Genomic DNA, 27,226 nt, shown 5'->3' on the forward strand with positions numbered 1-27,226 from the left:
TATTTCTTGGGGAACCTCAGCCTCTAGGTGCCTTTGCCACAGTCATAGGCCATGGTCTGCACAGTGTTTGGGAGGAGAATGGGAGAGACCTGGATGGAGTCTTGGCTTGTGGCAGTTCTCTCCAGTGATGCGGTCAAACCCATCTGATAAAGACCATGGGGGACACGTCCATATGTCCACAAATTAGGTTTATTAGCTTATTCTAGCAGGGGAGTTACTGGCTCCCATTCAAGGCACTGTGGGCCACCTCCCCATGCAAAAGAAGGGACATGTGGTTATAGGATTTGGGGAAGGATGGAATGGGGGTAAAATGTAAATGAAGCAGTTCTTTGATAGGTTTAAAACAAATATAGTGAGAGCCTGTCTCTACAAAAAGTTTTTAAAAATTATCAGGTGTGGTGACATGCACCTGTGATCACAGTTGCTCGGGAGGCTGAGGTGAGAGGGTCACCTGAGCCCAAGAGGTCAAGGCTGCAGTGAGCTGCGATCACGCCACTGCACTCCAGCCTGGGCAACAGAGCAAGACTCTGTCTCAAAAAAAAAAAAAAGAAAGAAAAAAAATTTGCTGGATGAATAACTTCAGACTGGAGTTGAAGGCCTGGCCCTCAAAATTGACTCAAGGTCCTGTCTGTTTGACATAGTTAAGAAAAATGTAGAATGTTGTGCTCATTCTGGTTATCTGAAGCTCTGCACCTGGGTTGGGATTGGGGCTGTTTCTCTGGGTCAAGGGACCCGCATGCTGCTGAGGCAAGACTGGGATGTTCCATCTTCCAGGCAAGAGTGGCTTGTTCCATTCTCACTGATGTGACTTCAAACAGCAAACTTGTCATGGCCTTTGATTTTAGCAGCCAAGGTTTCCCCGTTCTATGTCCTTAATGTTAATGAACAGAGCCACATTTTTATGTGTTCACAGATGAAAAGCAGGTCAGACAATAAGCAGGTGGTTTCATCAGGCTATCAGTATGGGGTATCAGGCTATTATTATTCCCTCTAGACTTCTATTTCTTCTTATGTTTGTAGAGAAGAAGCAGATACAGCTAGGAGGGCTGAGGAGAATGCGGGTGTGGGGGCAGGCTGGCATGACATGAATTTGCCAACTTGTCTGTCATGTTTCAGAGAGATTCTTTAATCTTCCCCTTTATTGTACAAACCATCTGGAGGACAGAAAAAACAATTTATCAATAGGAAAGATAATTCGTGGTAAATGTGTATGTAATTTTAGGTTGATCTTGAACTGTATTGAAAGCTATAAATTTTTTGGCTGGGCACAATGGCTCATGTTTGTAATCCCAGCACTTTGGGAGGTTGAGATGGGTGGATCACTTGAGCCCAGGAGTTCAAGACCAGCCTGGGCAACATAGTGAAACTCCATCTCTACTAAAAAATACAAAAAAATTAGCCGGGCGTGGTGGCAGGCGCATGTAGTCCCAGCTACTCGGGAGGCTGAGGCAGGAGAATCGCTTGAGCCCAGGAGGTGGAGGTTGCAGTGAGCTGAGATCGCGCCACTGCACTCCAGCCTGGGCAACAGAGCGAGACTCCATATCAAAAAAAAAAAAAATTAGCTGGGCCTGGTGGTGTGCGCCTGTAGTCCCAGCTACTCAGGAGGCTGAGATGGGAGGATCGCTTGAACCTAGGAGGTGGAGGTTGCAGTGCGCTGAGATCACGCCACTGCACTCCAGACTGGATGACAGAGTGAGACCCTGCCTCAAAAGAAAAAGATTTTCTTTCTTATGTATGTGTGTATGTATTTATTTATATCAGTGTGGACTCCTAGATTACCATTTGTTGAATGTGTTGAAATTCATTACCATCATTACCAATTTTCATTCTCAAATCATCTTGTATTGAGCCAGTGGGAGCGTCTTCAGGCTGGCTTCTGTGTTCTTTTGATGTGTTCCATTCTTTAAGCACGTCCTTACTTTCTAGAACAATAAAATGTTCCAGGTTCATTTTGTACCTTCCCTACCCCAGCCCTGGAATCAGCCATTTCTCTCTAAGAAGTCCTGGTTGCTTATAGTGAAGAATGCTATCTAGGAACCCAAGATTACGTGTACTCACTGTTAGCGGAGTTTCGTTGCTTCTAGACTCTATTCACTGACGGATCTAGGGAATGTATGTATACGTGTGTGCATGTTTATAGGCAGATTCCCACCCATAGAATTCTTTCTTTAGATCTAAAACCACAAGTTCATACTGATACCTTGAATTCTAGTCCAACACCAGAGGGTTCATTGTTCATTATAGACTTGCCTCTTTCCATAATTGTAACTTTTTTTGACAATGAGAAACAGGAGTCCCATTTTCCTTAACATATTTTCTTAATTGTTGAAACCTGTAATTCATTGAAAGTGGCTTCAGAATGATAAAGCAGTGTGAAAAACAAACCTACCCACCAACTAGAGTTCAATGTTTGTTATCCTTTTTGTCTTTATTCTGAGGATATATAATTGAAATATTGTTTTGCCCATTCTGTGGGGTTATAAATTAGATTTTAATAATGTTAGTTTTTTTTTTTTTTTTTTTTTTTTAGGCAGAGTCTCACTCTGTCGCCAGGCTGGAGTGCAATGGCGCAATCTTGCTCATGGCAACCTCTGCCTCTCAAGTTCAAGCGATTCTCCTGCCTCAGCTTCCCAAGTAGCTGGGATTACAGGCATGCACCGCCACACCCGGCTAATTTTTGTATTTTTAGTAGTGACAGGGTTTCACCATGTTGGCCAGGCTGGTCTCGAACTCCTGACCTCAGGTGATCCGCCTGCCTCGGCCTCCCAAAGTGCTGGGATTACAGGCATGAGTCACTGTGCCCGGCCTTTTTAAAAATTTTTTATACAGAGTCTTGCTCTGTCACCCAGGCTGGAGTGCAATGGTGCGATCTTGGCTCATTGCAACCTCTGCCCCTCGGGTTCAAGCAATTCTTCTGCCTCAGCCTCATGAGTAGCTGGGATTACAGGCACGTGCCACCATGCCCAGCTAATTTTGTATTTTTAGTGGAGACGGGGTTTCTTTGTGTTGGTCAGGCTGGTCTTGAACTCTCGACCTCAGGTGATCTGCCTGCCTCGGTCTCCCAAAGTGCTGGGATTACAGGTGTGAGCCACCGCACCCAGCCTTATTGTTAGGTTTATTTGTTTCTCTTTGTATTCAATTTTAGTATTTTTCCCCATCCTGTTGATTTCATTATTTTTTGGGTATGTAAAGTGCAAAGGCAAAACTGCAAAAAGGTATACTGGGAGTAGTGCCACTGCCTCTGCTGACCCTTATTCAATCTCTTATCCCTTCCGCCCTATTCCTATTTAGCCCCCTTAGGTAACCAATCTCATTAGGTTTTGGTAAATCTTTTCTTTGTGTTCCTTTTTTTTTTTTGAGATGAAGTCTTGCTCTGTCACCCAGGCTGAAATGCAGTGGCACGATCTTGGCTCACTGCAACCTCCGTCTCCCAGGTTCAAGTGATTCTCCTCCCTCAGCCTCCTGAATAGCTGGGACTACAGGCGTGTGCCACCATGCCCAGCTATTTTTTTTAATTTTTATTTTGTATTTTTTGTAGAGATCCTCATCTTCTTTGCCATGTTGGTCAAGCTGGTCTTGAACTCCTAACCCCAAGTGATCCACCCGCCTCGGCCTCCCAAAGTACTGGGATTACAGGCATGAGCCACCATGCCTGGTCGCATATTTCTTATTCTATCTTGTACAAGGCATAAGTACTGTTGAATTAAATTTGTCCTAAGGCTGCCTCTGTAGATAGAGAACTGTAACCTAACTTGGTTTGTAAACAAACTACAACCTAAAGCTGAGAGAATATTCTTGTAACAAATAGCCAAGTCTTGGTCAATCTTAGCAGCTGGGCTTTCAACCAGTCACAGACTGTAAACTGTTCAGATTTGTCCAAAGAAGACAAAAGTGGAGCCGTAACCAATCCAGCTGTTTCTTTTCTTCTCTTTTCTTTCTTTCTTTCTTTCTTTTTTTTTTTTTTTGAGATGGAGTCTCACTCTGTCACCAGGCTGGAGTGCAGTGGCACGATCTGGGCTCACTGCAACCTCCGCCTTTTGGGTTCAAGCAATTCTCCTGCCTCAGCCTCCCGAGTAGCTGGGACTACAGGTGCACGCCACCACGCCCAGCTAATTTTTGTACTTTTAGTAGGGATGGGGTTTCACCATGCTGGCCAGAATGGTCTCGATCTCTTGACCTGGTAATCTGCCTGCCTTGGCCTCCCAAAGTGCTGGGATTACAGGCATAAGCCACCGCACCCGGGCTTCTTTTTATTTTTGAGATGGAGTTTCGCTCTGTCACCAGGCTAGAGTGCAGTGGCATGATCTCGGCTCAGTGCAACCTGTGCCTCCCAGGTTCAAGCAATGCTCCTGCCTCAGCCTCCCAAGTAGCTGGAATTACAGGCGCCCACCACCACACCCGGCTAATTTTTGTATTTTTAGTAGAGGTGGGGTTTCATCATTTGGCCAGGCTAGTCTCGAACTCCTGACCTCAGGTGATCCGCCCGCCTCGGCTTCCCAAAGTGTTGGCATTACAGGCGTGAGCCATCACACCTGGCCCAATCCAGCTGTTTCTGTACATCACTTCCCTTTTCTGTCTATAAGTACTGCCTACCCAGGTTGCTGGGTAGAGCTCTCTGAACCTTTACTGGTTCAGGGTGCTGCCTGATTCATTGTTTCTTTGCTCAAAAAACCTTCTAAATTTAATTTGTTTAAAGTCTTTCTTTTCTTTTTTTTTTTTTTTGTTGTTTTTGTTTTTGTTTAATAGAGACCAGGGTCTTGTTATGTTGCCCAGGCTGGTCTTGAAATCCTGGCCTCTAGTGATCCTCCTGCCTCAGCCTCCCAAAGTCCTGGGATTACAGGTGTGAGCCACTGCGCCTGGCCTGCATTTCTCACTATGAGTCAAACTGAACATTTTTTTCACATGTCTAAGAATCATTTTTACATCTTTTTTGGGGAGTTGCTGTTCATATATATATATATATTTTTGCCTATTTTTCTATTAGGTTTTTGGTCTATTTTCCTCAAAGTCCTTTACTATATATATATATATTAACCATTTATCTGTGATATATGTGGCAAATATTTTCTCCCACTTTTTAATTTGTCTTTTGACCTCCTGGTGATTTTTTTCACCATGCAACATTTTATTATTATTATTATTATTTTGAGACAGAGTCTCACCCTGTTACCAGGCTGGAGTGCAGTGGCGTGATCTTGGCTCACTGCAACCTCGGCTTCCCGGGTTCAAGTAATTCTTCTGCCTCAGCTTCCTGAGTAGCTGGGACTACAGGTGCACGCCACCATGCCCAGCTAATTTTTGTATTTTTAGTAGAGATGGGGTTTCGCCATGTTGGCCAGAATGGTCTCAATCTCTTGACCTCATGATCGGCCCACCTTGGCCTCCCAAAGTGCTGGGATTATAGGCGTGAGCCACCGCGCCTGGCCCATTTTATTAATTTTATGTAGTAAAATTTACCAGTCTGGTATTGCCTTTGGATTGTGAGTCCTAGTTAGAAATCTTTTTCTTACGTTCTAGTCAAAGAGCTACTCACCCATGAATTCTTAGAACTCTTGTCATTTCTTTTTTTTTTTTTTTGAGACAGTCTTGCTCTATCGCCCAGGCTGGAGTGCAATGTCGCGATCTCTGCTCACTGCAACCTCTGCCTCCTGGGTTCAAGCGATTCTCCTGCCTCAGCCTCCAGAGTAGCTGGGATTACAGGCATGCGCCACCAGGCCTGGCTAATTTTTTGTATTTTTATTAAAGATAGCATTTCACCATATTGGCCAGGCTGGTCTTGAACTCCCGACCTTGTGATCCGCCTGCCTCGGCCTCTGTCATTTCATTTTTTTACATTTAGATCTCTGAACCATCTGGAATTTAATTGTTGATGGGAGTTACAGACCTAGTTTGATTTCTTTCTAAATGACCACCTGGCTGTCTGAGCACCATTAATCACAATGCTTGGGTCTATTTCTGGACCTTCTGTTCCATTTCACTGGTCTGTCTATTCCTGCTTCAGTACCACACTGTTTTAATTATAGAGACTTTATAGTATGTCTGAATATTTGGTAGAGGTAGACCTCTCTCATAGCTTTTCTTTCGCAGGTATTCCTAGCTCTTCTTACATTTTTATCCTTCCGTATGAATGTGTGTATCAGTTTAGGCTCTAGAAAAAATGTTTTGGCATTTTACTAGAATCGCACTAAGTTTATTAATTAACTTGAGGAGAACTGACATATTTATGATATTGAGTCATCTTTTCCAAGAACAAAAGATGACTTGGCTTATTTGGGTCTACTTCTGTGTCTTTCAGGAGTGTTAATGTTTTCCTCATACAGACTTTGTTGCTCTTGTAAATGGGTTTTCTCTACATTACATCCTCTACTTGATTATCATTTATGTTTATGACAGTTACTGATTTCCGTATGCCAATCTTATATCCTGCTAACTTACTATAATATGTAGCCTATTTATCACAGTTTTCCTCTTCTTTTCCAATCCTTATGCCTCTAATTGACCTATCTTTTCTAATTCTATTGGCTTATACTAGCAGAGTGATCTAACCCATCAGTATATTCTACTTTGGACTCGAGTAACACTCGGTGAGGCTCAGTCGTTAAGTTTAGGTAGCCTGAGTTTAAATTTGAGGAGGCCAATATGGGAGTAAGGGGGCTCTCTGCCCATGGCTACTCATTTTCTCTCCTGCTCTGACCTGATGTGATGTCCACCCTGTCAAAGTCGTTGTGACTAGAGCTTTGTGGGGGAAAAGCATTTATTGCTTTTTATTGCTGAAGTAAGGAGCCTGGGGTGCCGCGGAGGACAGGGCGCCGCGAGCAGGGCGCCGAGCTGCCGCCACCTGCCGCCCGGAGCTGGCACTGCACCCTTTTAGTGCAAAGCAAATCCCTGTCCCATTGGTCCCCTCCTTCCCTAACCATGAAATCTAAAGCGAAGCTCCCCTCTCTCCCTTCCACTCTCCTACCGAGGGTCCTTTATTCTATTTATTTATTTATTTGTTTATTTATTTATTATTTTTATTTTTGTTATTTTTTTGAGACGGAGTCTTGCTCTGTCGCCCAGGCTGGAGTGCAGTGGTGTAATCTTGGCTCACTGCAACTCTGCCCCCCAGGTTCAAGTGATTCTCCTGTCTCAGCCTCCCAAGTAGCTGGGATTACAGGCGCCCGCCACCACGCCCGGCTTACTTTTGTATTTTTAGTAGAGACGGGGTTTCACCATGTTGGCCAGGCTGGTCTAGATCTCCTGTCCTCAAGTGATCTGCCTGCCTTGGCCTCCCAAAGTGCTGGGATTACAGGCCACCGTGCCTGGCCACTTTATTCTGTTTAGAGTTGTTAGGGTTGTTCCAGGCTCCAGAGTCCAAATCCTGCAGATAGAGCTCAAAGGGTAAGGTGAACTGAAATGTCTTTGGCTTAGCTCAATTCTCGTCATGGGGGTTTGAAAAAGAAAGCAGGTTAATGGGGAGAATAGAAGAATGAAAGGGACCATGTGCAAAACTGGTCCCTATCCATGGAGTAACAACTAGTTGCATCTTCACTGTAGAAAATTTATTTGCCTTTCCATGGACAACAATCATTTGTATTATTATCAGTTTTCTACAACACGTAGAGTTGTCAAATAGCTTAAAGACAAGGACAAGTATAGACCCTTCTAGAATCAGATAACTCCTAGAAAGGTCTTCTAGACAATCTGTAGTGAAGTTAAGTAATACCTTCAAGATTTCACAACTGTAAACTCGATCTGGAATTCAAACCAGATCTATATGTTTCTGTAAATCCAGGCTCTTTTTTCTGTATCAAGAAGCTTTTGGACTGGAAGAGTGTTTTTCAGCAGGAATTGTGGTATTGGCCACCCATCACCCCATTTAATTAAAAATCCCTGGCCTCAGGACCTACAGCAATGTACTGAAGAACTTCAGAACCTCAATTAGCCATTTGCCATCTTGAGAGAGTCTTGTCCATGGTTCAAGTGTTCCCTTGGAACTCCTGAAGGGCTTGGAGCTTAGTCTGAGCCATGGGAAATGGCCAAAGAGTCTCAAGATTCCCACTGTATCCTGTGCCTTGGAGCAGGCAAGGAGACCATGGCAGCCCTGGCCCCGGTCAGTTCTTGGCTTTGGCAGTTCCGGGACCAGGACGCTGGTACAGCCGGATTATCCCTTCATCGTGTAGCCGCTTCCAGACTTCTCTCTCCAGCTTGAAGTCATGGTTTATGTAAAAGATCAGCCGCTTCCATGATGTATCATAGTAGTGATCAGAAAAGCGCTCATGGCCCTCAGTGATGAAGCCATAAGCACTCACCTACATCACGGTTGGAGGAGAAACACGGCCTGTAGTTGCTGTTGCCCAGGCTTCTTCTCATGGCTAATTCTGTGTTGAGGGGTGGGGGTTCTTTTCCCTGGCTCCGTCCCTAGGGGTCTGGGTGCAGGTCCCTGGATACGCACGCATAACTGCATGCACCCATACTCATGCCCACCCTCTTTCCCAGCAGATGTGGGCACCCAGCCCATGCACTGTCCTATGCTGAACAGGCCCAGGAATAGCCCAGGAGCTGTTTCTCCAGGTATTTCTGCAGCTGCAGTGGAGCCTTACCTGGTCACAGAGCTGAAGGGCAGTGAGCAGCAGGAGGGCCCCAGTGGTGGGGCGGTATATCCTCCAGTGGGCACCATCCAGGGTCTTAGACCTCAGAAACCTGTGAAATGCCCCAAACCCCCAACTGTCAGGAGGCTGCAAGGATAACAGGGACCTGGGCTACGTGTCACGTGCTTTCTGCTCTAACCTGTTCTTCATGTATCGGAGAAAGTCTGGGTGCAGCAACAGGTACCTGTCCATGTGCAGGGCTTCCCGAAAAGCTTCCTGGGGTCTGTGCCTGTGGTTAGGAAGGGGTCATTCAGACTCAGCTCCCTTACCTGGTCTGGGGTGGGCCAAGTCAGGGTCATGAGCATGACTGGTATCCCATCTCCAGGTGATAGCTAAGGCTGTCCCCACCTGTCCAACCCTTTAGAGCCACTCATGACATGGCTCAGCCTGGGATAAGGGGATGGCAGGAGGACAGTGGGTACCTGAACCAGAAAAGGTTTTTTGACATCACCGTCTGATTCATAAGCAGTGCTTCCAGCCACTCATAGTCCCGGGTGCCTTCCAGGAAGTGCAAGTAGCGGACGTCCTGAGGACCAAGGACAGGGAGTGGTCCAAAAGTACTGCCTTCAGGACCACCACCGAGGGTGGCCCAGCTCTGACTCCGACTGCCCACTTGCTCTGCTCTGGACTGGTCTGACTGTCCTCCCCACTCCTGCCCTTATAGGAGGGGAGCCTGTACCAACCACAGACTCCATCCGGATGAAAGCCTCTCCTCTCCCTTCTCACCTCCTGTGCTCCCTCATCCAGAGTCTGGGTGTGGCCAGGCTCCTTCCTCTTTGCTCACCTTCCCAAGAGGCACGTTCTTGAAACCCCGATTGCCCAATATAAGGAGTGACTGGGTCAGGGAGAAGGCGGTAAAGCCGTAGAAGGATGTCCGAGTCCCCACATCCTGTTCGTAGCCTTTAATGAGAGCTCCGCTCAATCTGTGCAGAAAGACACAATCAGACGGGACAGGTGAGCAGAGGAGGGAGATTTGTGTAGGTGGATGGGGAAAGGAAGGAGAAATGGGGGAGGCAGCAGTTATGTGCGGAAATTCTCTCGAGAGCCCAGGAATTCCACCTTCCAGATGCAGGCGTGGAACATCCTATGGGTCTCTCAGAAGAGTCCATGTCTGCAGAAGAGGGGCAAGAGAGGGGCTGGAGGGGGGCTGGAGGGGGCAGGAGAGGGGCTGGAGAGGGAGCTTGGGTGGGGACAGCTTACCGGAACACGTAGTCGTGACTGTCTATCTCCTGGCCCATGTGGGAGTTGTTCAGGATGCCCCCGTTGCCCACCACGGCACAGGTGATGCACCGGAGGCTCCCAGCGGGGAGGCTGGCCAGGAGCAGCTGCTGCTGGGGCACTGGAGGGAAGCGTGTCACGACCTTCTGCACCACTGGAACAAGAGTGGGGGTGCTCCATTCAGAGCCCTGGGAGGGACAGGAGTCCGACCCATCATTCCTCCCAGGTCTGGCAAACCCCAGGGAAGAGGCAGACCAGAAAGCCAGCTGCCCTCTGCCCTCTGCCCCGGCCTACTGCGCACCCACACCTTCCCCTGGGTTAAGGACTCACAGGAGTAGTTGAGCTCCATGAAGCCAAAGGGTGGTGCAAAGTGTTCCAGGCGGTCCCACTCACTCTGGTTGAAGTGTCTGGAGTCCAGGAAGAGAGTGAGGTTGGGCAGAAAGAGTTTCTGGAGCCACAGCGACTTGGAGGCTTTGATCTTCACAGAGTCAGGGCAAGTCTATATACAGGAGGACGAAGTCAGGAAGGGAGAGACCCAGAAAGGCCATCGGCCAGGGGCTGCACCACTGCAGCAAGGGCTGGGGCTCGCAGTTTGGAAGGCGCGGCCTCTGCTACCTCTTCCATTCTGTTCTCAGGGTCTGCTTACCCTCCCCTTCCCATTGTCTGGGCTCATTGTGGTCCTGAGGGTTCTGGGAAATGGGTGTTCTCGGCCATCGAGGCAAATGCACCTAGGCCGGGTGTGGTGGCTCACGCCTGTAATCCTAGCACTTTGGGAGGCCGAGGCGGGTGGATCACAAGGTCAGGAGATCGAGACCATCCTGGCTAACACGGTGAAACCCCGTCTCTACTAAAAATACAAAAAATTAGCCGGGCGTGGTGGCGGGCGCCTGTAGTTCCAGCTACTCGGGAGGCTGAGGCAGGAGAATGGCGTGAACCCGGGAAGCGGAGCTTGCAGTGAGCCGAGATTGCGCCACTGCACTCCAGCCTGGGCGACAGAGCGAGAGTCCATCTCAAAAAAAAAAAAAAAAAAAAATGCAAATGCACCTTTGTAAGTGTGAGAGGGGCCGCATCCTGGGAATGTGGCATGTGTCCAGTGTGCTGTCAGGGCCATGCTTCCAGTCATATGTGTGTAAATGTGTGCATTTTATGGGCCTTCTCCCTCCCTCCCTCCCTCCCTCCCTCCCTCCTTCCTTCCTTCCTTCCTTCCGTCTTTCCTTCCTTCCTTCCGACAGGGTCTCACTCTGTTGCCCAGGCGGGAGTGCAGTGGTGCCATCATAGCTCACTTTAACCTCAAGTGATCCTCCCGCCTCAGCCTCCTGAGTAGCTGGGACTACAGGCATATGCCACTATACCCAGCAACATACACATTTTGGACACTGCCCCTCTGCAAGGACAGGTGAGAAGGACCATGTGGGTGGGTGTGGTTCAGTCAGACTGTTTCCTTAGGGTTGGGAGAGAGCGAAGGCTGTGGAATTGACTTTGCAGGGAAGACAAGGCATTCCTGGAGGACAGAGCTGGGCATGAGGTTGGGGTGTCCTTGTCTGTGAGTCCCTCCCCTGCAGCCCCCGCGAGAGGATGGGGATTCAGGGGCCAAGCCCCAGAGTAGATCACACTCTGTCACCCCAGATGGATGACCTCCAGGCCTCAGGAGCTCCAGGGCAGGCCCCATCTCACTCACCCCTCTTACGCTGTCCACACCAGGGGTCCGGGGCCTGCCTGCTCCTCCTCCCCCATTGTGGCCATCATTGGAAAGACAAGTGGGGCAGAGTCTTGTAGGGCTGAGCTCTGCCTCATAATGAGCTTGGGGCAGGACAAGACAAAGTCTAGAAGCAGAGCCCAGGAGGTGAGGAGAGGGTGGGCTGGGCTTCCTCTCAGGAGGGGCTTCAGAGCTGGGAGCCAGAGGGAAGGCGTGGTGGCAAAAACTCACCGTCTGAAGGCCTCCTATTTCGAAGCTGTATTTTTCCTCAAAATCCCACCGAGGCTCAGATTTGAAGTTGGCGGCCTTCAGTCTTTGGTTTCTCTGCGTCGTGGGGCTCTGGAAAGGGGCAGGGGGTGGGGTGGCCTGAGGTTTCTTCTCCTTAGGTGGGATGACTGCTGTGGTCACTCCTTTCTGTCTCGTCCTTGTTGACACTGCTCCTGTGGGAGCCAGCATTCTGTGCTGACTTTTGGGAATGAGCGTCTTGGCTGTGGTTGCCGCTTTGCCCTGGTGCTTCTCTGACACCGTCCTGGAGGCCGTCAGCTTCCTGGTCTGGCCCCCATTTCCTTGGGTCGTCTTTGTGTCCTGGCTCTTCCATGATTGTGCCTCTGTCCTGCCAGAGGCCATCCCTGCATCTTGCCCTCTGGGTGACAGTGTGTTCACCATGGTTTTCTCTTTTTCTGGGCTCTTCCATGCTGCCCTCTGTGCTGTGTGGGGCACCTTGTCCTGCTCCTCCGGCGGTGCCTGGTTGGCCTCCTTTCCTCTGTCTCCGGTGGTGTGGGCCTTGGGCTGGGTTTGTGTGTTGAGGGCATTGTTCTCTGGCACTGGCTCTGCATAGATGGTTGTCCTCCTTGCCCTTGTGGGTGCCTGGGACTTAGGCTTTGCCAGGGACTGTAGAGACCTTTCTTTAATGTTCTCTGTGCGTTGATGCCTAGGGACAGAGATAACCTTTGATGAAGGCTGAAGATTGTGGAAACAGGTCAGAAGCATAAGTAGTTTTTTGTTTTTTTTTTTTTTTTTGAGACACAGTCTTGCTCTGTCACCCAGGCTGGAGTGCAGTGGTACGATTTCAGCTCACTGCAACCTCCATCTCCTGGGTTCAAGTCATTCTCCTGCCCCACCCCCCTGAGTAGCTGAGATTACAGGCACCCGCCACCATGCCTGGCTAATTTTTGTATTTTTAGTAGAGATGGGGGTTTCACCATGCTGGCCAGGCTGGTCTTGAACTCCTGACCTGCCCAGTGATCCACCTGCCTCGGCCTCCCAAAGTGTTGGGATGACACGTGTGAGCCACCGTGCCTGGCCAGAAAATAGATTCAAACAAAAGCGGAATAGAATTTGAGATATGTACATAGGACATACAGGAGAGCATCTCATCCGACAAACGTTTACTAAATGTCTATTCTGTGCAGTGTGCTGTGCAGGCACTGGGAATACAAATTGGAATAAGACACAGACCTTGGACCTATGTGATACACGATTATTGTTATTCGAGGCAGGAAACAAAGGTCTTTGATCACTGGAGAAAGGCAGGGCCGGCCAAGGCAATATGGGAAGCAGGCTGATTACCTATGCAAGCCCTTCCTCCATTAAGGCCTCCTAGCCTGAGCTGCAGCTGACCCTGGGTGGTATTTCCAGCCTTTCTCAGCCTCAAAGCAACACATTTATTCAGGGTCTCCAGCGGGGGCACTCTCTATTCTGACCTTGAAACTGAAGCCTAAACTTCCCAAGGGTGTTAGGAAAGGGCTGACAGCTGACAGTTCTTCCTCCTTACCTCCCAGGGATCCTTCCTCCTTGAAACCCTTCTTTTTTTTTTTTTTTTTGAGACGGAGTCTGGCTCTGTCACCCAAGCTGGAGTGCAGTGGCGCGATCTTGGCTCACTGCACCCTCCATCTCCCTGGTTCAAGCAATTCCCCTGCCTCAGCCTTCCGAGTAGCTGGGATTACAGCGCATGCCACCACGCCTGGCTCTTTTTTTTTTTTGTATTTTTAGTAGAGATGGGGTTTCACCATGTTGGCCAGAATGGTCTTGATCTCTTGATCTCGTGATCTGCCCACCTTGGCCTCCCAAGGTGCTGGGATTTTACAGGCGTGAGCCACCGCGCCCAATTTTTTTTTTTTTTTTTTCTTTAAGAGACAGAGTCTTGCTCTGTCGCCCAGGTTGGAGTGCAGTGGCACAATCACAGCTCACTACAGCCTCAAACTCCTGGGCTCAAGCGATCCTGTGGCCTCAGCCTCTCGAGTAGCTGGGACTACAGGCATGCACCACCATGCCCAGCTAATCTCTGTGTGTGTGTGTGTGTGTGTGTGTGTGTGTGCACGCGTGCGCGAGCACTTGTGTGTGTTTAGAGACTGGATCTCACTCTGTTACCCAGGCTGGTCTCAAATTCCTCACCTCAAGTGATCCTCCACCCTTGGCCTCCCAGAATGTTGGTATTAAAGGCGTGAGCCACCGCGTCTGGCCTAAACACACACATTTTTAACTGGACTTGCATAGAAAATGCCTCTGCCTTTGTTATATGACTCAAAGAAGTAGCTTGGATGAGAGATATTTCTAACCAGAAAGGAGAGATGGGCCTCAGGACAGGGTTGGACTGAGATATGGAGCATCCCGAAAAGGCTAATGGGCTTCAAACCCTAATTCTTTCTGTATTTTTCATTTTCAACTAAGAAAAAGAAAAGGAAAAATTTATTATAAGAATAGAAAGTGTTTCAAGGAACCCAAGAGCAGGAAGTAGTTGAGCCTCTGGGGGGGCTTGGAACCAGGAATCGCTCTCTAAGGCTTTGTCTCTATCTCACCTCTCCCTCTGAATCAGCTTTCTTCTACTCTTTCTGTCTCTGCAGACAGGCCTCCTCTGCTCTCCAACCCACAGGCTGGTGGAAGATGGCCACCCCATAACACCTGTACTGGGGACTGTGGACTCCCTTTTCTCCCAATTTTTCACTCTAGCAGAAGACTGTGGCCCCCTTGGGTCCTATCTCCATCCCTTTCCAGGGGTCTCGGTCACATACTACATGACATTCTGGGGCCCACTCTGTGCATGGGAGGAGGACACTTTCAAGAGAAAGAGGGGGTTATTGGTTCATGAACTGGGAAGACACCCCCAAAATATCCATTCTGAAAGAATGCCACTCAACACAGAGTGAGAAACCTGAGTGAGTGAAGAACACATTCTTGATCAATTCATTCCACATTTGCCTAGTAGAAGGTCTGAGTGCTGTGTGGGTGTGTGTGAGGCTCACCACTCCCCTTGGTCTGACTACTCAGTGTAACCTCTAAGCTCACGTGGGCCATTCAGCAAAAACCAAGCTGTTCACCCGGTTTAACAAACAGCTCTTGTTACCCAGCAAAGCCTCTTGGTGGATTCACCCTGACCTCCACTTCCCAACCCCCAGCCTCAAGAAGCCTATGGAAACTTCCCTTCCAAACTCCGGCAGCCCTCGGCAGAGAGGAATTCTGCTGAATGACATTTTCCCTATCTCGAACATTTTCATGGATGTAGCTGCCTGGCTGGCAGGCACCTTAACTTGGCCGTGGCGGGGAGAGATGATGAGGCAGGGGTGGTTTTTGACATCACACATCTCAGGCCACACATAGCATGGACAGCTGGCCGTCTGCTTAGTGGCCACACTGACCCTGAAGAGGTAATGCACTCCTCTCTGGAACCCTGTCTAGCAGCAGGAATGGCGCAGTGACTCCTGGAAGGCCTATTCAACCGCAAATCTACAATTGATTGATGACTCCTTTAGGTTTTGCAGGAAGTCACAGCAATAATCCAGGTAGTGACAAAATTATGTAATTAAGTTTCATTTAATTCCCTATAATTAAATACACCTGTGATTGCTAGGGCTGTGGGTGTTGAGATAGACATTTCCTTATTCTCATGCACAGTATTTACTAAATGCTCAAATTGTATCCATATGCTGAGTGCCCCATATTCAACGCGTTCGGCCCTGTGTGGTCCTGACCCTGTGAGCTGGGCTGGGGTGTGGGAAGGCTTTCTTCTATTAATGACTTCTAGTCCAGAGGCACAGGCAAATTAATCATGGGTCATACCAAAACAAAAAGCGACTTAACTGCATAATTCTGATCTACTAGGGAAGTAAAAATATAAAATGTTGCACTTTAATAAATGAATTTATTGGCTGGGTGAGGTGGCTCATGCCTATAGAGCCAGCATTTTGGGAGGCCGAGGCGGGCAGATCACCTGAGGTCAGGAGTTCAAGACCAGCCTGGCCAACATGGCAAAACCCCGTCTCTACTAAAAATGCAAAAAAAATTAGTTTGGTGTGTTGGCACGCACCTGTAATCCCAGCTATTCCGGAGGCTGAGGCACGAGAGTTGCTCGAACCTGGGCGGCAGAGGTTGCAGTGAGCTGAGATAGCACTACTGCACTCCAGCCTGGGTGACAGAGCAAGACTCCATCTCAATTAAAAAATAATAATAATGGCCAGGCGTGGTGGCTCACGCCTGTAATCCCAGCACTTTGGGAGGCCGAGGTGGGTGGATCACCTGAGGTCGGGAGTTCGAGACCAGCCTGACCAGCATGGAGAAACCCCATCTCTACTAAAAATACAAAATTAGCCGGGCATGGTGGCACATGCCTGTAATCCCAGCTACTCGGGAGGCTGAGGCAGAAGAATCGCTTGAACCTGGAAGGCGGAGGTTGCGGTGAACCGAGATCGTGCCATTGCACTTCAGCCTGGGCAACAAGAGCGAAACTCCATCTCAAATAATAATAATAATTAAAAATCAATCAATCAATTTATCATGAACAAGAATCGCACAATAAAAGAAACAGGAAAATAGTTATCTGGCAACATCCTCCCTCTCTGTATATATATATTTTCTTTTTTTTTGAGACTGAGTCTCTGTTGTCTAGGCTGGTGGCACGTTCACAGCTCATTGCAGCCTCGACCTCCCGGGCTCAAACGAGTCTCCTGCCTTGGCCTCCTGAGTAGCTGGGACTACAGGTGCATGTGCCCCCAGGCCCAGCTGCCTTCTATATTCTTCAGTGTACATCACCAAGGGGAACCTGGAAGTGAAGAAATGGCAAAAGGTTCAAAGTTCGTTTATGCCTGCAGCCATGAAACACCTATTGGCCAGAGAGCGGTATTTTCCAAGAATACAGTACGAGAGATAACACAGGAATGTTGAAGTTGACTAGGATATTGAAGAGGCTGAAACTGAATTTTGAAAAAATACCCCAAGGAAAGGTCACTCACTAACAAAGCCAGTATGAGTAGAAGATTATTTTATGGAGGAGGATAAGAAAAGAGCTGAAAAGACTCCTTTGATTCGCTAAATAATTTTGCACCTGGGCTCCCGCCTTCTATGGCATGGAGAGCGAGCGGAAGTGGCTGCAGGTGAGTTGCGCCTGGTATGTGGGAATGGCTGGTCACACAGAATCGCCTCTACTTACGTCCTTAAGTCCTGGGCTCTTTCTCAGTCCCCACCATCAACTTTGCCCTCATTTTATCTCAGGCCCCCTGGCTGGGTGAGCTTTCCTCTTCCAGGTTACATGTTTGGTTCCCACAGCTTTGATGCTGCTTCTCCTTGAAAGGAGGACAAACTAACACTTCGCTCTGCCCTGTGTCCCTCTCCACTCCCTGCTGTGGAGCTCTCTACCTTGAACTGCTCCTGCCTCCTGTGCCCCACATTGTTAGCTGGGCCTGGAGTTCCCAAGACCCCCTTGGTGTCCACGAGGGCTATTCCAGCCTCCTTTTGGTATTTGATCAGTTCTTCGGGGTCTCCTGTCTTATGTGAGATAGAAACCAGCCATTCTGCTTTTTCTTTTCCAACTCTAAAGTTGGCCAGGCGTGGTGCCTCACGCCTGTAATCCCAGCACTTTGGGAGGCCGGGGGTGGGGGTGGGGGGTGGATCACCTGAGGTCAGGAGTTCGAGACCAGCCTGGCCAACATGGTGAAACCCCATCTCTATTAAAAATACAAAAATTAGCTGGGCATGGTGGTGCATGCCTGTAATCCCAGCTACTTGGGAGGCTGAGGCAGGAGAATCGCTTGAACTCGGGAGGCAGAGGTTGCAGTGAGCTGAGATCGTACCACTGCACTCCAGCCTGAGTGATACAGCAAGACTCTGTCTCAAAAAAAACAAAAACAAAAAACAAACTCCAAAGTTTATCTTCCTTGGAAAATCCTGAAAGTTTTCTAAAAGTGAATGAATGCTTTATTTTTACGACTTTACTTTGACTTTAGATGTGTCTATACGCTGCTTCCATGACTAAAAGCTGTATGATTGCCTTAATTATCTTTGTATGCTGGAAAAAAATGGCAGAAATCCATTTTCTCTTGTTATTCTGAGTGTTCTTTTCTCAAATCAAAGCCTGTGTGGTGGTTTTCAGCCACCTCAATCTTAGTGGGGAGATTCTAGTGGGGATGTTATTATGTTCTGGGACTCGAGAGAAAACAGAAGGAAAATGAGTCAGTTGCTGCTCATCATACTTCAGTGGCTGGATACAGCTTCCAGAGCTCCCCCTGAACAGACAGGTCCCCAGCATTCTCAGAGATGCCCTTCGCCTAGCTGAATTCACTGTGGGCCAGAATGCCAGTCAGCTGGTTTGAAAGTTAGATGTCCTACGCCTGTAATCCCAGCACTTTGGGAGGCTGAAGCAGGCGGATCACTTGAGGTCAGGAATTCGAGACCAGCCTGGCCAACATGGCGAAACCCTGTCTCTACTAAAAATACAAACGGCTGGGTGTGGTGGTGCACGCCTGTAATCCCAGCTACTCTGGAGGCTGAGGCAGGAGAATTGTTTGAGCCTGCGAGGTGGAGGTTGCAGTGAGCAGGGATCGCATCACTGCACTCCAGTCTGGGCAGCAAAGAGAGACTCTGTCTCAAAACAACAACAACAATAACAACAACAAACCAACTAAATGAGACATCTTATGGAAAGTTCTACGAGAACTTGACAACACAATGCAATGTTTATTCTGCAATATTCATTGAGTAGCCATGACATGACAGGCATTCAGAGGTATCTGCTAGAGATTAAAGATAAAAAAAGCAATGGTCACTGGTTTTAAGAGGCTCACAGTCTATAAGAGAAACAGACATGAGTATAAGCAGCTGCCTTAAAGTGTCATCGGTATGATATTAGTCATACGTGTGCGAGGCAGTGGTGACAGCCTAGGGAGGCAGTTCTGCTCGGGGGGATACTTTGGTATGTAGGGGTTACCTAAGCTGAGTCTTTTTCTCCTGAGTCTTCAGAAGTGAACTTTTATGAATTATTTTTATTTTTATAAAAGCAATGTGTGCTTATTACGGAAAAAGCAGAAACTGCCTTAAAACATGAAAGGATAGCAACCTCCTATTATCCCAGTCCCTTCAAAGAATCTACTGTTAGTACCTCAGGGCATGAACAGCCGCATCCCTTTTCTACGCCTGTCATGCTTTTGAATACAATTATATACTATTTTGAAATGTTATTTGTTTCCCTCTCCACCCCACCCCCATACCTCCAGCAGTTAAGATTTGGTTTCATGTTCAAGATGTAGTGAAACAGATCAATCTTGGAGAAGTTATGAGGGGGAAGGACTTTACTACTTCTTACCATCATTGTCCTTCCCCTGGAAAGATCCTTTACTCTGGTGGGTGGCGGAAATGAGAGAAGGAGGGATCTGTGAGTTCCAAGGTCAGAGGACCCTGCTTCCTGGCAGTGTTCCAAAGGTCTAACAAGACCCCTGGAAAAAAAAAGAATCCTGAGCCTAGGAAGACAGGACCACAGACAGTGTCAGAAAAGTCTCACACGGAGCTGAGATCACGCCACTGCACTCCAGCCTGGATGGCAAAACGAGACTCCGTTTCAAAAAAAGAAAAGTCCTCCCGCCCGGCCAGCCTCCCCGTCCGGGAGGTGGGGGTAGCCCCCACCCAGCCGCCGCCCCGTCTGGGAGGTCGGGGGCGCCTCTGACCGCCGCCCCGTCTGGGAAGTGAGGAGCCCCTCTGCCCGGCCGCCACCCCATCTGGGAGGTGTACCCAACAGCTCATTGAGAACGGGCCATGATGACGATGGCGGTTTTGTCGAATAGAAAAGGGGGAAATGTGGGGAAAAGAAAGAGAGATCAGATTGTTACTGTGTCTGTGTAGAAAGAAGTAGACATAGGAGACTCCATTTTGTTCTGTACTAAGAAAAATTCTTCTGCCTTGGGATCCTGTTGATCTATGACCTTACCCCCAACCCCGTGCTCTCTGAAACATGTGCTGTGTCCACTCAGGGTTGAATGGATTAAGGGCGGTGCAAGATGTGCTTTGTTAAACAGATGCTTGAAGGCAGCATGCTCGTTAAGAGTCATCACCACTCCCTAATCTCAAGTTCCCAGGGACACAAACACTGCGGAAGGCCGCAGGGCCCTCTGCCTAGGAAAACCAGAGACCTTTGTTCACATGTTTATCTGCTGACCTTCCCTCCACTATTGTCCTATGACCCTGCCAAATCCCCCTCTCCGAGAAACACCCAAGAATGATCAATAAATACTAAAAAAAAAAAAAAAAAAAAAAAAAGATTCCCATCACACCCTAAACCTAAAAGGTTTAGGATAAATAAAGATGTGAATTAAAAAAAAAAAAAAAAGACATAGAACAGTCACCACAAGGGTCCCTCATGTTGTCCTTTTATAGCCACAGCCACTTTCTTCCTACACCACCCCCTCCTCAACCCCTAGAAACACCACTCATCTGTTCTGTATTTTTATAATTTTATCATTTCAAGAATGTTATTTGAATGCAATCATACAATTATGTAAGCTTTTGGTACTGGCTTTTCAAAAAAACAGAACAAAAAAAACCCAAAAAAAGTCTCTCACACATAAGCCAGGTGGACCTGAAAGAGCCAAGGGGCAGGAACAATGGCTGTTTCAGCAGCTACTCAATAGCGAAGGGTCAGCGTCCCACTCCCATGCCTTGGCACCGCATCAGATGTCCTGGAGCCCTTGATACCATCCTGCAGAGGGGCAAGAAGAGCTGAGATTAAGTTTTCCTGAAGCTTGGTGGATGGGAGTTCAGAATCAGAAATCAGGAGGTGATAGAAAATAAAGTTCTGTTCTTTTCTTTTTGGACACAGAGTCTCACTCTGTCGTCCAGGCTAGAGTGCAGTGGCATGATCTCGGCTCACTGGAAGCCAGTGCCCAGGTTCAAGCGATTCTTGTGCCTCAACCCCCTGAGTAGCTGGGATTACATGCATGTGCCACCGTGCCCGGCTAATTTTCATATTTTTAGTAGAGATGGAATTTTGCCATGCTGGCCAGGCTGGAGAACATAAAGTGACAACAAGAAAATGACAAACAGAACCCATAGGTCTGTTTTTACAGCTCACTCTTTTTTTTTTTTTTTTTTAATGGAACGCTTTACGAATTTGCACGTCATCCTTGTGCAGGGGCCATGCTACACAGCTCACTCTTAATTACCATCTCTAAAGCTAAAACAAGCATAGATCTTCCAAAACATATTTATACCAGACTATGGAAGCCAAGCAGAGACATAGTCTTAGATGACATCTACACATCACTGAACAAATGATGCACGTGGGTGCGTCTTAAGATGATATGAGAGATGGCCCGATGGGTTTGAAATCATAGAATTGTATTTTTTATTTTTTTTTTGAGACAGAGTCTTGCTGTGTCACCCAGGCTGGAGTGCAGTAGAGCAATCTTAGCTCACTGCAACCTCTGCCTCCCGAGTTCAAGCGATTCTCCTGTGATAAAAGCGATAATACTCAGCCTCCTGAGTAGCTGGGATTACAGGCAACCGCCACCACGCCTGGCTAACTTTTGTATTTTTATTTATTGATTATTATTATTTTTCTGAGACGGAGTTTCACTCTTGCTGCCCAGGCTGGAGTACTGTGGCATGCTCTCGGCTCACAGCAAGCTCTGCCTCCCGGATTCAGGCAATTCTCCCTGCCTCAGCCTCCCAAGTAGCTGGAATTACAGGCACCGGACCATGCCCGGCTAATTTTTGTATTTTTTAGGAGAGACAGGGTTTCACCATGTTAGTCAGGCTGGTCTCGAACTCCTGACCTCAGGTGATCTGCCCACCTCGGTCTCCCAAAGTGCTGGGATTTAGGCGTGAGCCACTGTGCCTGGCCTCAGAATTGTCTTGAAGTTCTTCTGCTACACTCCTCCCACCATCCTATTTGTTGCCAAGTCCAGCTGATCTGACTTCTTCTCAGTCCTTTCTTCCTGTTCAAACTGTCCTCGCTCACGGTCTCATTAATGCTATCCTAAACCGTTGCAATGGTCTCTAAACTATCCCCTCTAAAACCACGTTCCCCCGATCATCCATCCTGTAATCTATTGACAGAGTACTCTGCATAAAGCATGAATTTACTCAAGTTAACTCCCTTACTCTAAAGTTTTTGAGAGCCATAAAGTTTAAACGTTTTGGCCTGTTTTTTAAGGTGACAAATTCATTCTTTCATCAACAAGCATTTATAAAGCACCTCCACTGGGTCCAGGCCCTGTTCATAGCACTGAGGAAACACAGACAAATAAGACAATGCCGGCCGGGTGCGGTGGCCCATGCTGTAATCCCAGCACTTTGGGAGGCTGAGGCAGGTAGATCACTTGAGGCCAGGAGTTCAAGACCAGCCTGGCCAACATGGCAAAACCCTGTCTCCACTAAAAGTACAATAATTAGCCGAGCGTGGTGGCGTGCGTCTGTAGTCCCAGCTACTCTGGAGGCTGAGGCAGGCTAATCACTTGAACCTGGGAGGTGAGGTTGCAATGAGCCAAGATCGCGCCACTGCACTCCAGCCTGGGTGACAGACCCAGACTCCATCTCGAAAAATAAATGAAGAAATTACATAATTCATGTAATCTCACAAATTCATATAATTACATGATAAACACACACACACACACACACACACACACACACACACACACACACACACACACACACACTAGGTGTTCTACCTGGCTCTAAGCTCTTTTATTCCACCAAGCCAGCCAGGCCAGAGCTCAGACCTTGGCTGCTGGAGGTAGGGAGTGGGGGTGGGAGACGTGGGGGATGAGATGAGGGGGAGATTGGGGAAGCTGGAGAGAGGCGGGCAGTAAAAATCATAGGCACTGAGAAAACTCCTCTTTTTTCAAGTCGTTAACTCCTCTGGTATGGTTACTTAAGTGAGCGCCTGTCTTGGAGGGTGGGGCTAGGGGGTCCCTGCCTGCCCTGAGGTTCTTTCGGCTTCTGTCTGATGTTGGGGGCCCCTGCTGACTTGGTGGTCTCTGCACATTAGTAAATGTGGTTTCTCTGGGGAAGGGTTCTCCTTTACACTGAGAATCCCCGCAGGAGGGTCCTTTCTAGGATCACGTCTCCCACTGCCCCCTGCGGCATTTAGTGTCCCCAAACACTGTTCTGGAGTGAGTGTCCCATTATTGCTCCGGCAGGTAACTGGGCAGTTGAGGGTTCTGGTCTCTGCCCTCCCACCGGGAAGTGCTGAACTTTCCTTCCACTGCCTTCTGGGCTGTGAAGACCTGGGAGGGAGGGGCAGGGTGGTTCTGCCTCTTCCCAGGTACATTACATCGTGGACAGTTCCAACAACTTCCTGCCTTCAGAAATCTCTAGACCAGAACCAGGCATCGCTCTACTTAACATTTGCCCCTTAACTCCAGGGCATGTGGCATCTGCTGGGAAGGCCAGGCCCGGTCACTATGAGTGACTCTCAGGCAGCCCATTCCCACCCCAAAACATCGCCCCAGGAGGACTCTAACCCTCTGAGTTTCTCTCCTCCCCTGTCTTCTTATCTAAGCTAGCTTGTCTTGGGTTTTTGTCAGTTGCGATCAAGTGTTCCAACAAATACAAACCTATATTCACATCATACACAAAAGAAAATTTCTGATGGATTCTTATTAAGCTTAAAGAACAAAAGTACAGAAATATTAATAGAAAGTGTAAAAGAAAATGTATATAATATTAGGGTTGGGAATGACCTTCCTAAAAATTGCACAAAGTCCGGTGACCACAAAGGAAAAGATGGACACATGTTATTGATGTAACAATTACTTCTGTATGACAAAAGATATCACAAACAGTGAAATAAAACCAAACAAATATCAGGCTGAAGAAGATATTTTGAAACAGGAATTAAAAGAAATTAAAGAATGTGTAAGCAAAAACTCAGATGTATGTAAAAAAAACCCAATTCCCTCTAAGAAACAAAAAGAGGTGGAATCCTTTAAAAATTAATTGCCTGTTTTTCTGTCTGTGGCCAGTGAGCCTTATCTCTCCCTTTCCCAGGCATTGTGAAGACCTTGTCTCTGCAGCTGTGTAGCTGCAAGGTCACTAGGCAGATAAACTCAAGTCGTAAAACATATTTTTCCTTGAAAAGTAAGAAATGATGTAATGCATGTCTCAATTGAGTAACTGTCTTTGTTTCTTGCTTCTGTAATATGCTTCCCCCTGCACAGATCTCCCCCTGCCCCACGAAATGCTTAAAAGGTAACCTGACGCTTTGTTCGGGGCTCAGTTTTTTTGGATGTTAATGTGACTGGGCCAGTGCACCTTAATAATGATAATAAATCCTCCTCAACCCTTCAGTCTCTCTGATTCCTAAATTATCCCACTGCATTTAGAAGTATTGTAACATATATGATAAAAAGGTTAATATCCCTAATATACAAAAAGCTCCTACAAATATGAAAAAAATAATAAAAAGGAAGAAAAGATATGAACAGGTCATTCATAGAAAAGTACAAATGACTAAGAAAGTTAAGATTCTCAATACATCAGTGATCTGAGAAATGCAAATTAAAAAGAGAAACACTTTCACCTATCTGATGATTAAGACTTCAAAACCCTAATGAAAGCCAGTGTGGTCCTGGGAGGTAAAGTAAACTTGCACCTGTCAGTGTAGCATTCTGAGACAACAATTCAATGGTGTCCACTGACATTTCATGTAAACATATGCATTGTCTTGGCAATTCCACTTCAAGAAATCTACCCGGAAATCACTTACGCAAGTGCTCAAAGGTATGTGAGAAACTTGATAGGGGTTGGTTAAGTAAACAGTACCTACCCTGTGGAATGCTAAGCAACTGTTGAAAGAAGGGAGTGGACCTGTATGTCCCGACATGGAAAGATGTCCATGATATAGTGTGACTTACAAGGTCAACCTGTGGAACAATATGTAGCATGAGATACATATATATGTATATATACGTATATATGAGATATATATATAAGCTCTCTTGTGCATATATATGTAAATCTATATGATATATATGTGTATATATCTATATCTATATATACAATATATCTATATATACATATCTCTCATGCTACATATTGACATATAGTATATCAATATATAGCGTATATATTGTATATATATCTCCATACTATATATAGATATCTATATCTCCATCTATCTATCCATCTATCTGTCCATCTATCTGCCTATCTCTCTATCTCTCTCTCTCTCTATCTGCCTATCTATCTATCTATCTATCTATCATCTATCTATCGGGCTTGTATAGCATAAAGGTAATGAGCACAGGGTATGGCACCAAAATGCCTGGGTTTGAATCTTGGCCCTGCCGCATACTAGCAGGGTGACCTTGGGAGAATCACTTCAGTTCTGTGTATCTCAGTGTCCTAATAATGAGAATTAGTGAGTTAACGTATATCAAGCACTTAGAATAGGGGCTAGCTCATAGTAAATACTATAGCAGTGTTAGCTACATAATAATAGAATTCCGTGTACCCTCAAGTGTCAAGAGTGGTCACCTTGAAGAGTGGATAGAGGTGGAGGTATAATAGGGAGACCCTCACTTCCTGCTTCACCTTTCTGTATTTTTTTTAACTCTATGAGAACCTGCATTACTTTCAACGTTTAGGAACAGTGAAATGAAATTATTGGCTGGGCGCAGTGGCTCACGCCTGTCATCCCAGCGCTTTGGGAGGCCGAGGTGGGTAGATCACTTGAGGTCGGGAGTTCAAGACCAGCCTGGCCAACATGGTGAAAACCTGTCTCTACTAAAAATACAAAAACTTAGCCAGGCCTGGTGGCATGCGCCTGTAGTCCCAGCTACTCAGGAAGCTGAGGCTTGAACCTGGGAGGTGGAGGTTGCAGTGAGCTGAGATCATGCCACTGCACTCCAGCACTCCGGCAGCAGAGTGAGACTCCGTCTCAAAAAAAAAAAAAAAAAAAAGAGGGCCTCTCACTGCTGGAGATGTGTGTATTTTCTAAGAAAAATGGTCTAGAAGGTATTTTTGAAGGATTAACTTGGCGTCCACAATTGAAACTGCATCCCTAAGAGGGAGGCTCTCCATTTTAACTGACAAACTTAGGGTGAGTCCGGGTCTGAAACAAGTGGAACACACAGCATGGCTCTTTCGCTTCAGGACGTAGAGAATGGCATGTAAGAACTAACCCAGTGCTGCTGCCATTACTCACAGTCCCAGAGGGGAAAGCAGTCATGTCTTCTGTCTGCACTCTGCAGACCTAACCCATCAGTTCTCAAACTCCTGTACGTGTCCCACAGTATCTGGACATGTCCATCCCATGCGTCTTGGTTGCCCACTGCCACCCTTTCTGTTCCCTGCAAGTCTTCCCATTAGTCTTTCTTCCCAGTGCTTCTTGAGAACACTCCTGACCCCTGACACTCCCATGTGGACACACAGGTGGCTCAGACTTCCCCAGTCCTCCCTGGGCTATCATTTTTCTGTTTCCTCAAATGAATGAAATATGAGGAGTGGAAAGGACAAGAATCTTACCTGGAAGGCTTTGTTTGAGGCTCCTTAATAAAAGAGGGCAAGGCGAAGAGAAAGAAGACCAGGACAGCCAGAAGCAAGGACCACTGGACGCCTTGGCTCAGGTGCCTGCATCTCCACAGGCAGGACCTCATGGTGGTGGGTCGGGTTCTAGAGGAAGGTTCTGCATGTCCTGGGGCCTTGATGTAGGCAGCTGGGAGTCTCACCGCTCAGGTTTCCTGGCCAGGAAGTGCACACCCTTTGTCTTAACAATGAGCCACTCCGGCAAGTGCTGAGTTTATCAGTCTCTGCCTGGGAAGGGAGGAACCGCCTTCACTGCTGTATGAAGGCTTATAAGCTGGCGTGGCTTAAAGGAAGGGAAACTCCTTGTGTTCAAACATGTTTACCTTCCTTTTTTGTCTTTGAAGCCAATATCTGAAAGTCAAGCTTTATGAGAAATATAACCACATTATATGCAGTCTCATCTTGGTCAGGTTACTTAACCCATCTGCCGCCATATAAATGGAAAAAAGCAGTTATCTTCCTTTTGGGATTATCATGAAGACACCTTGAGGCCACCATGCACAGGGCTTTGTTTGTGGTAGGCACCCAACACACATGTTCAACACTTTAGCTCAACCTTCTCTGTTTCTCTTCTGAAATCATGACCATTACAACAATGACCAGCACGTATGAGGGCTCACTCTGAGCTGGGCAGTGGGGAGTCTTCACAGGCACTCATGGAACCCTCACAGCCACTCTAGGGGCTGGGTACTGTCATCACCTCCATTTGACAGAGGAGGAAATGGCCTCCAAGAACAAGCTGCCAGCCCAAGAGCACATGGTGAGCCACTGGCTTGGGGTCCAGATCCAACTGACCTAGAGATTGCATTCTTTTTTTAAGAAATAGAGATGGGTCTCAGTATGTTGCCCAGGCTGGTCTCAAACTCCTGGACTTAAGTGATCCTCCCACCTCAGC

At 47.4% G+C, this 27,226-nt stretch overlaps 1 protein-coding gene across 6 annotated transcripts, besides 1 other annotated feature; it reads right to left on the reverse strand.

Moving 5' to 3' along the window:
• Nucleotides 1-170: 170 nt before the first annotated feature.
• ST6GALNAC1 (ST6 N-acetylgalactosaminide alpha-2,6-sialyltransferase 1) lies at nt 171-26,521 on the reverse strand. Of its 6 annotated transcripts, NM_001289107.2 has the most exons (10): nt 26,272-26,521; nt 20,364-20,500; nt 11,776-12,475; nt 10,179-10,347; nt 9,831-10,002; nt 9,415-9,553; nt 9,053-9,156; nt 8,770-8,859; nt 8,583-8,682; nt 7,527-8,291 (listed from the first exon to the last, which is right to left on the reverse strand). In NM_001289107.2, exons 3-10 carry the CDS (start codon nt 12,208-12,210, stop codon nt 8,094-8,096), a joined length of 1,407 nt encoding a protein of 468 aa, NP_001276036.1. In that variant the 5' UTR covers nt 12,211-12,475; nt 20,364-20,500; nt 26,272-26,521; the 3' UTR covers nt 7,527-8,093. The 6 variants fall into 6 exon arrangements, 5 of the variants coding, with proteins under 5 accessions (XP_011523298.1, XP_011523297.1, NP_001276036.1 ...); XM_011524996.3 differs by lacking the exons at nt 7,527-8,291; nt 20,364-20,500 and adding an exon at nt 171-1,154; XM_011524995.4 differs by lacking the exons at nt 7,527-8,291; nt 20,364-20,500 and adding an exon at nt 1,777-1,922.
• Nucleotides 9,701-10,202: an enhancer, noted in NCBI's record as "H3K4me1 hESC enhancer chr17:74623019-74623520 (GRCh37/hg19 assembly coordinates)". NCBI's record gives its function as "activates a minimal SCP1, AML or CMV promoter by ChIP-STARR-seq in naive H9 embryonic stem cells {active_cell/tissue: H9 hESC(naive)}" and the evidence as "EXISTENCE:reporter gene assay evidence [ECO:0000049][PMID:30033119]".
• Nucleotides 26,522-27,226: the final 705 nt, after the last annotated feature.

Source organism: Homo sapiens, chromosome 17, assembly GCF_000001405.40.
Source record: "Homo sapiens chromosome 17, GRCh38.p14 Primary Assembly".
NCBI classification, from domain to species: domain Eukaryota; kingdom Metazoa; phylum Chordata; class Mammalia; order Primates; family Hominidae; genus Homo; species Homo sapiens.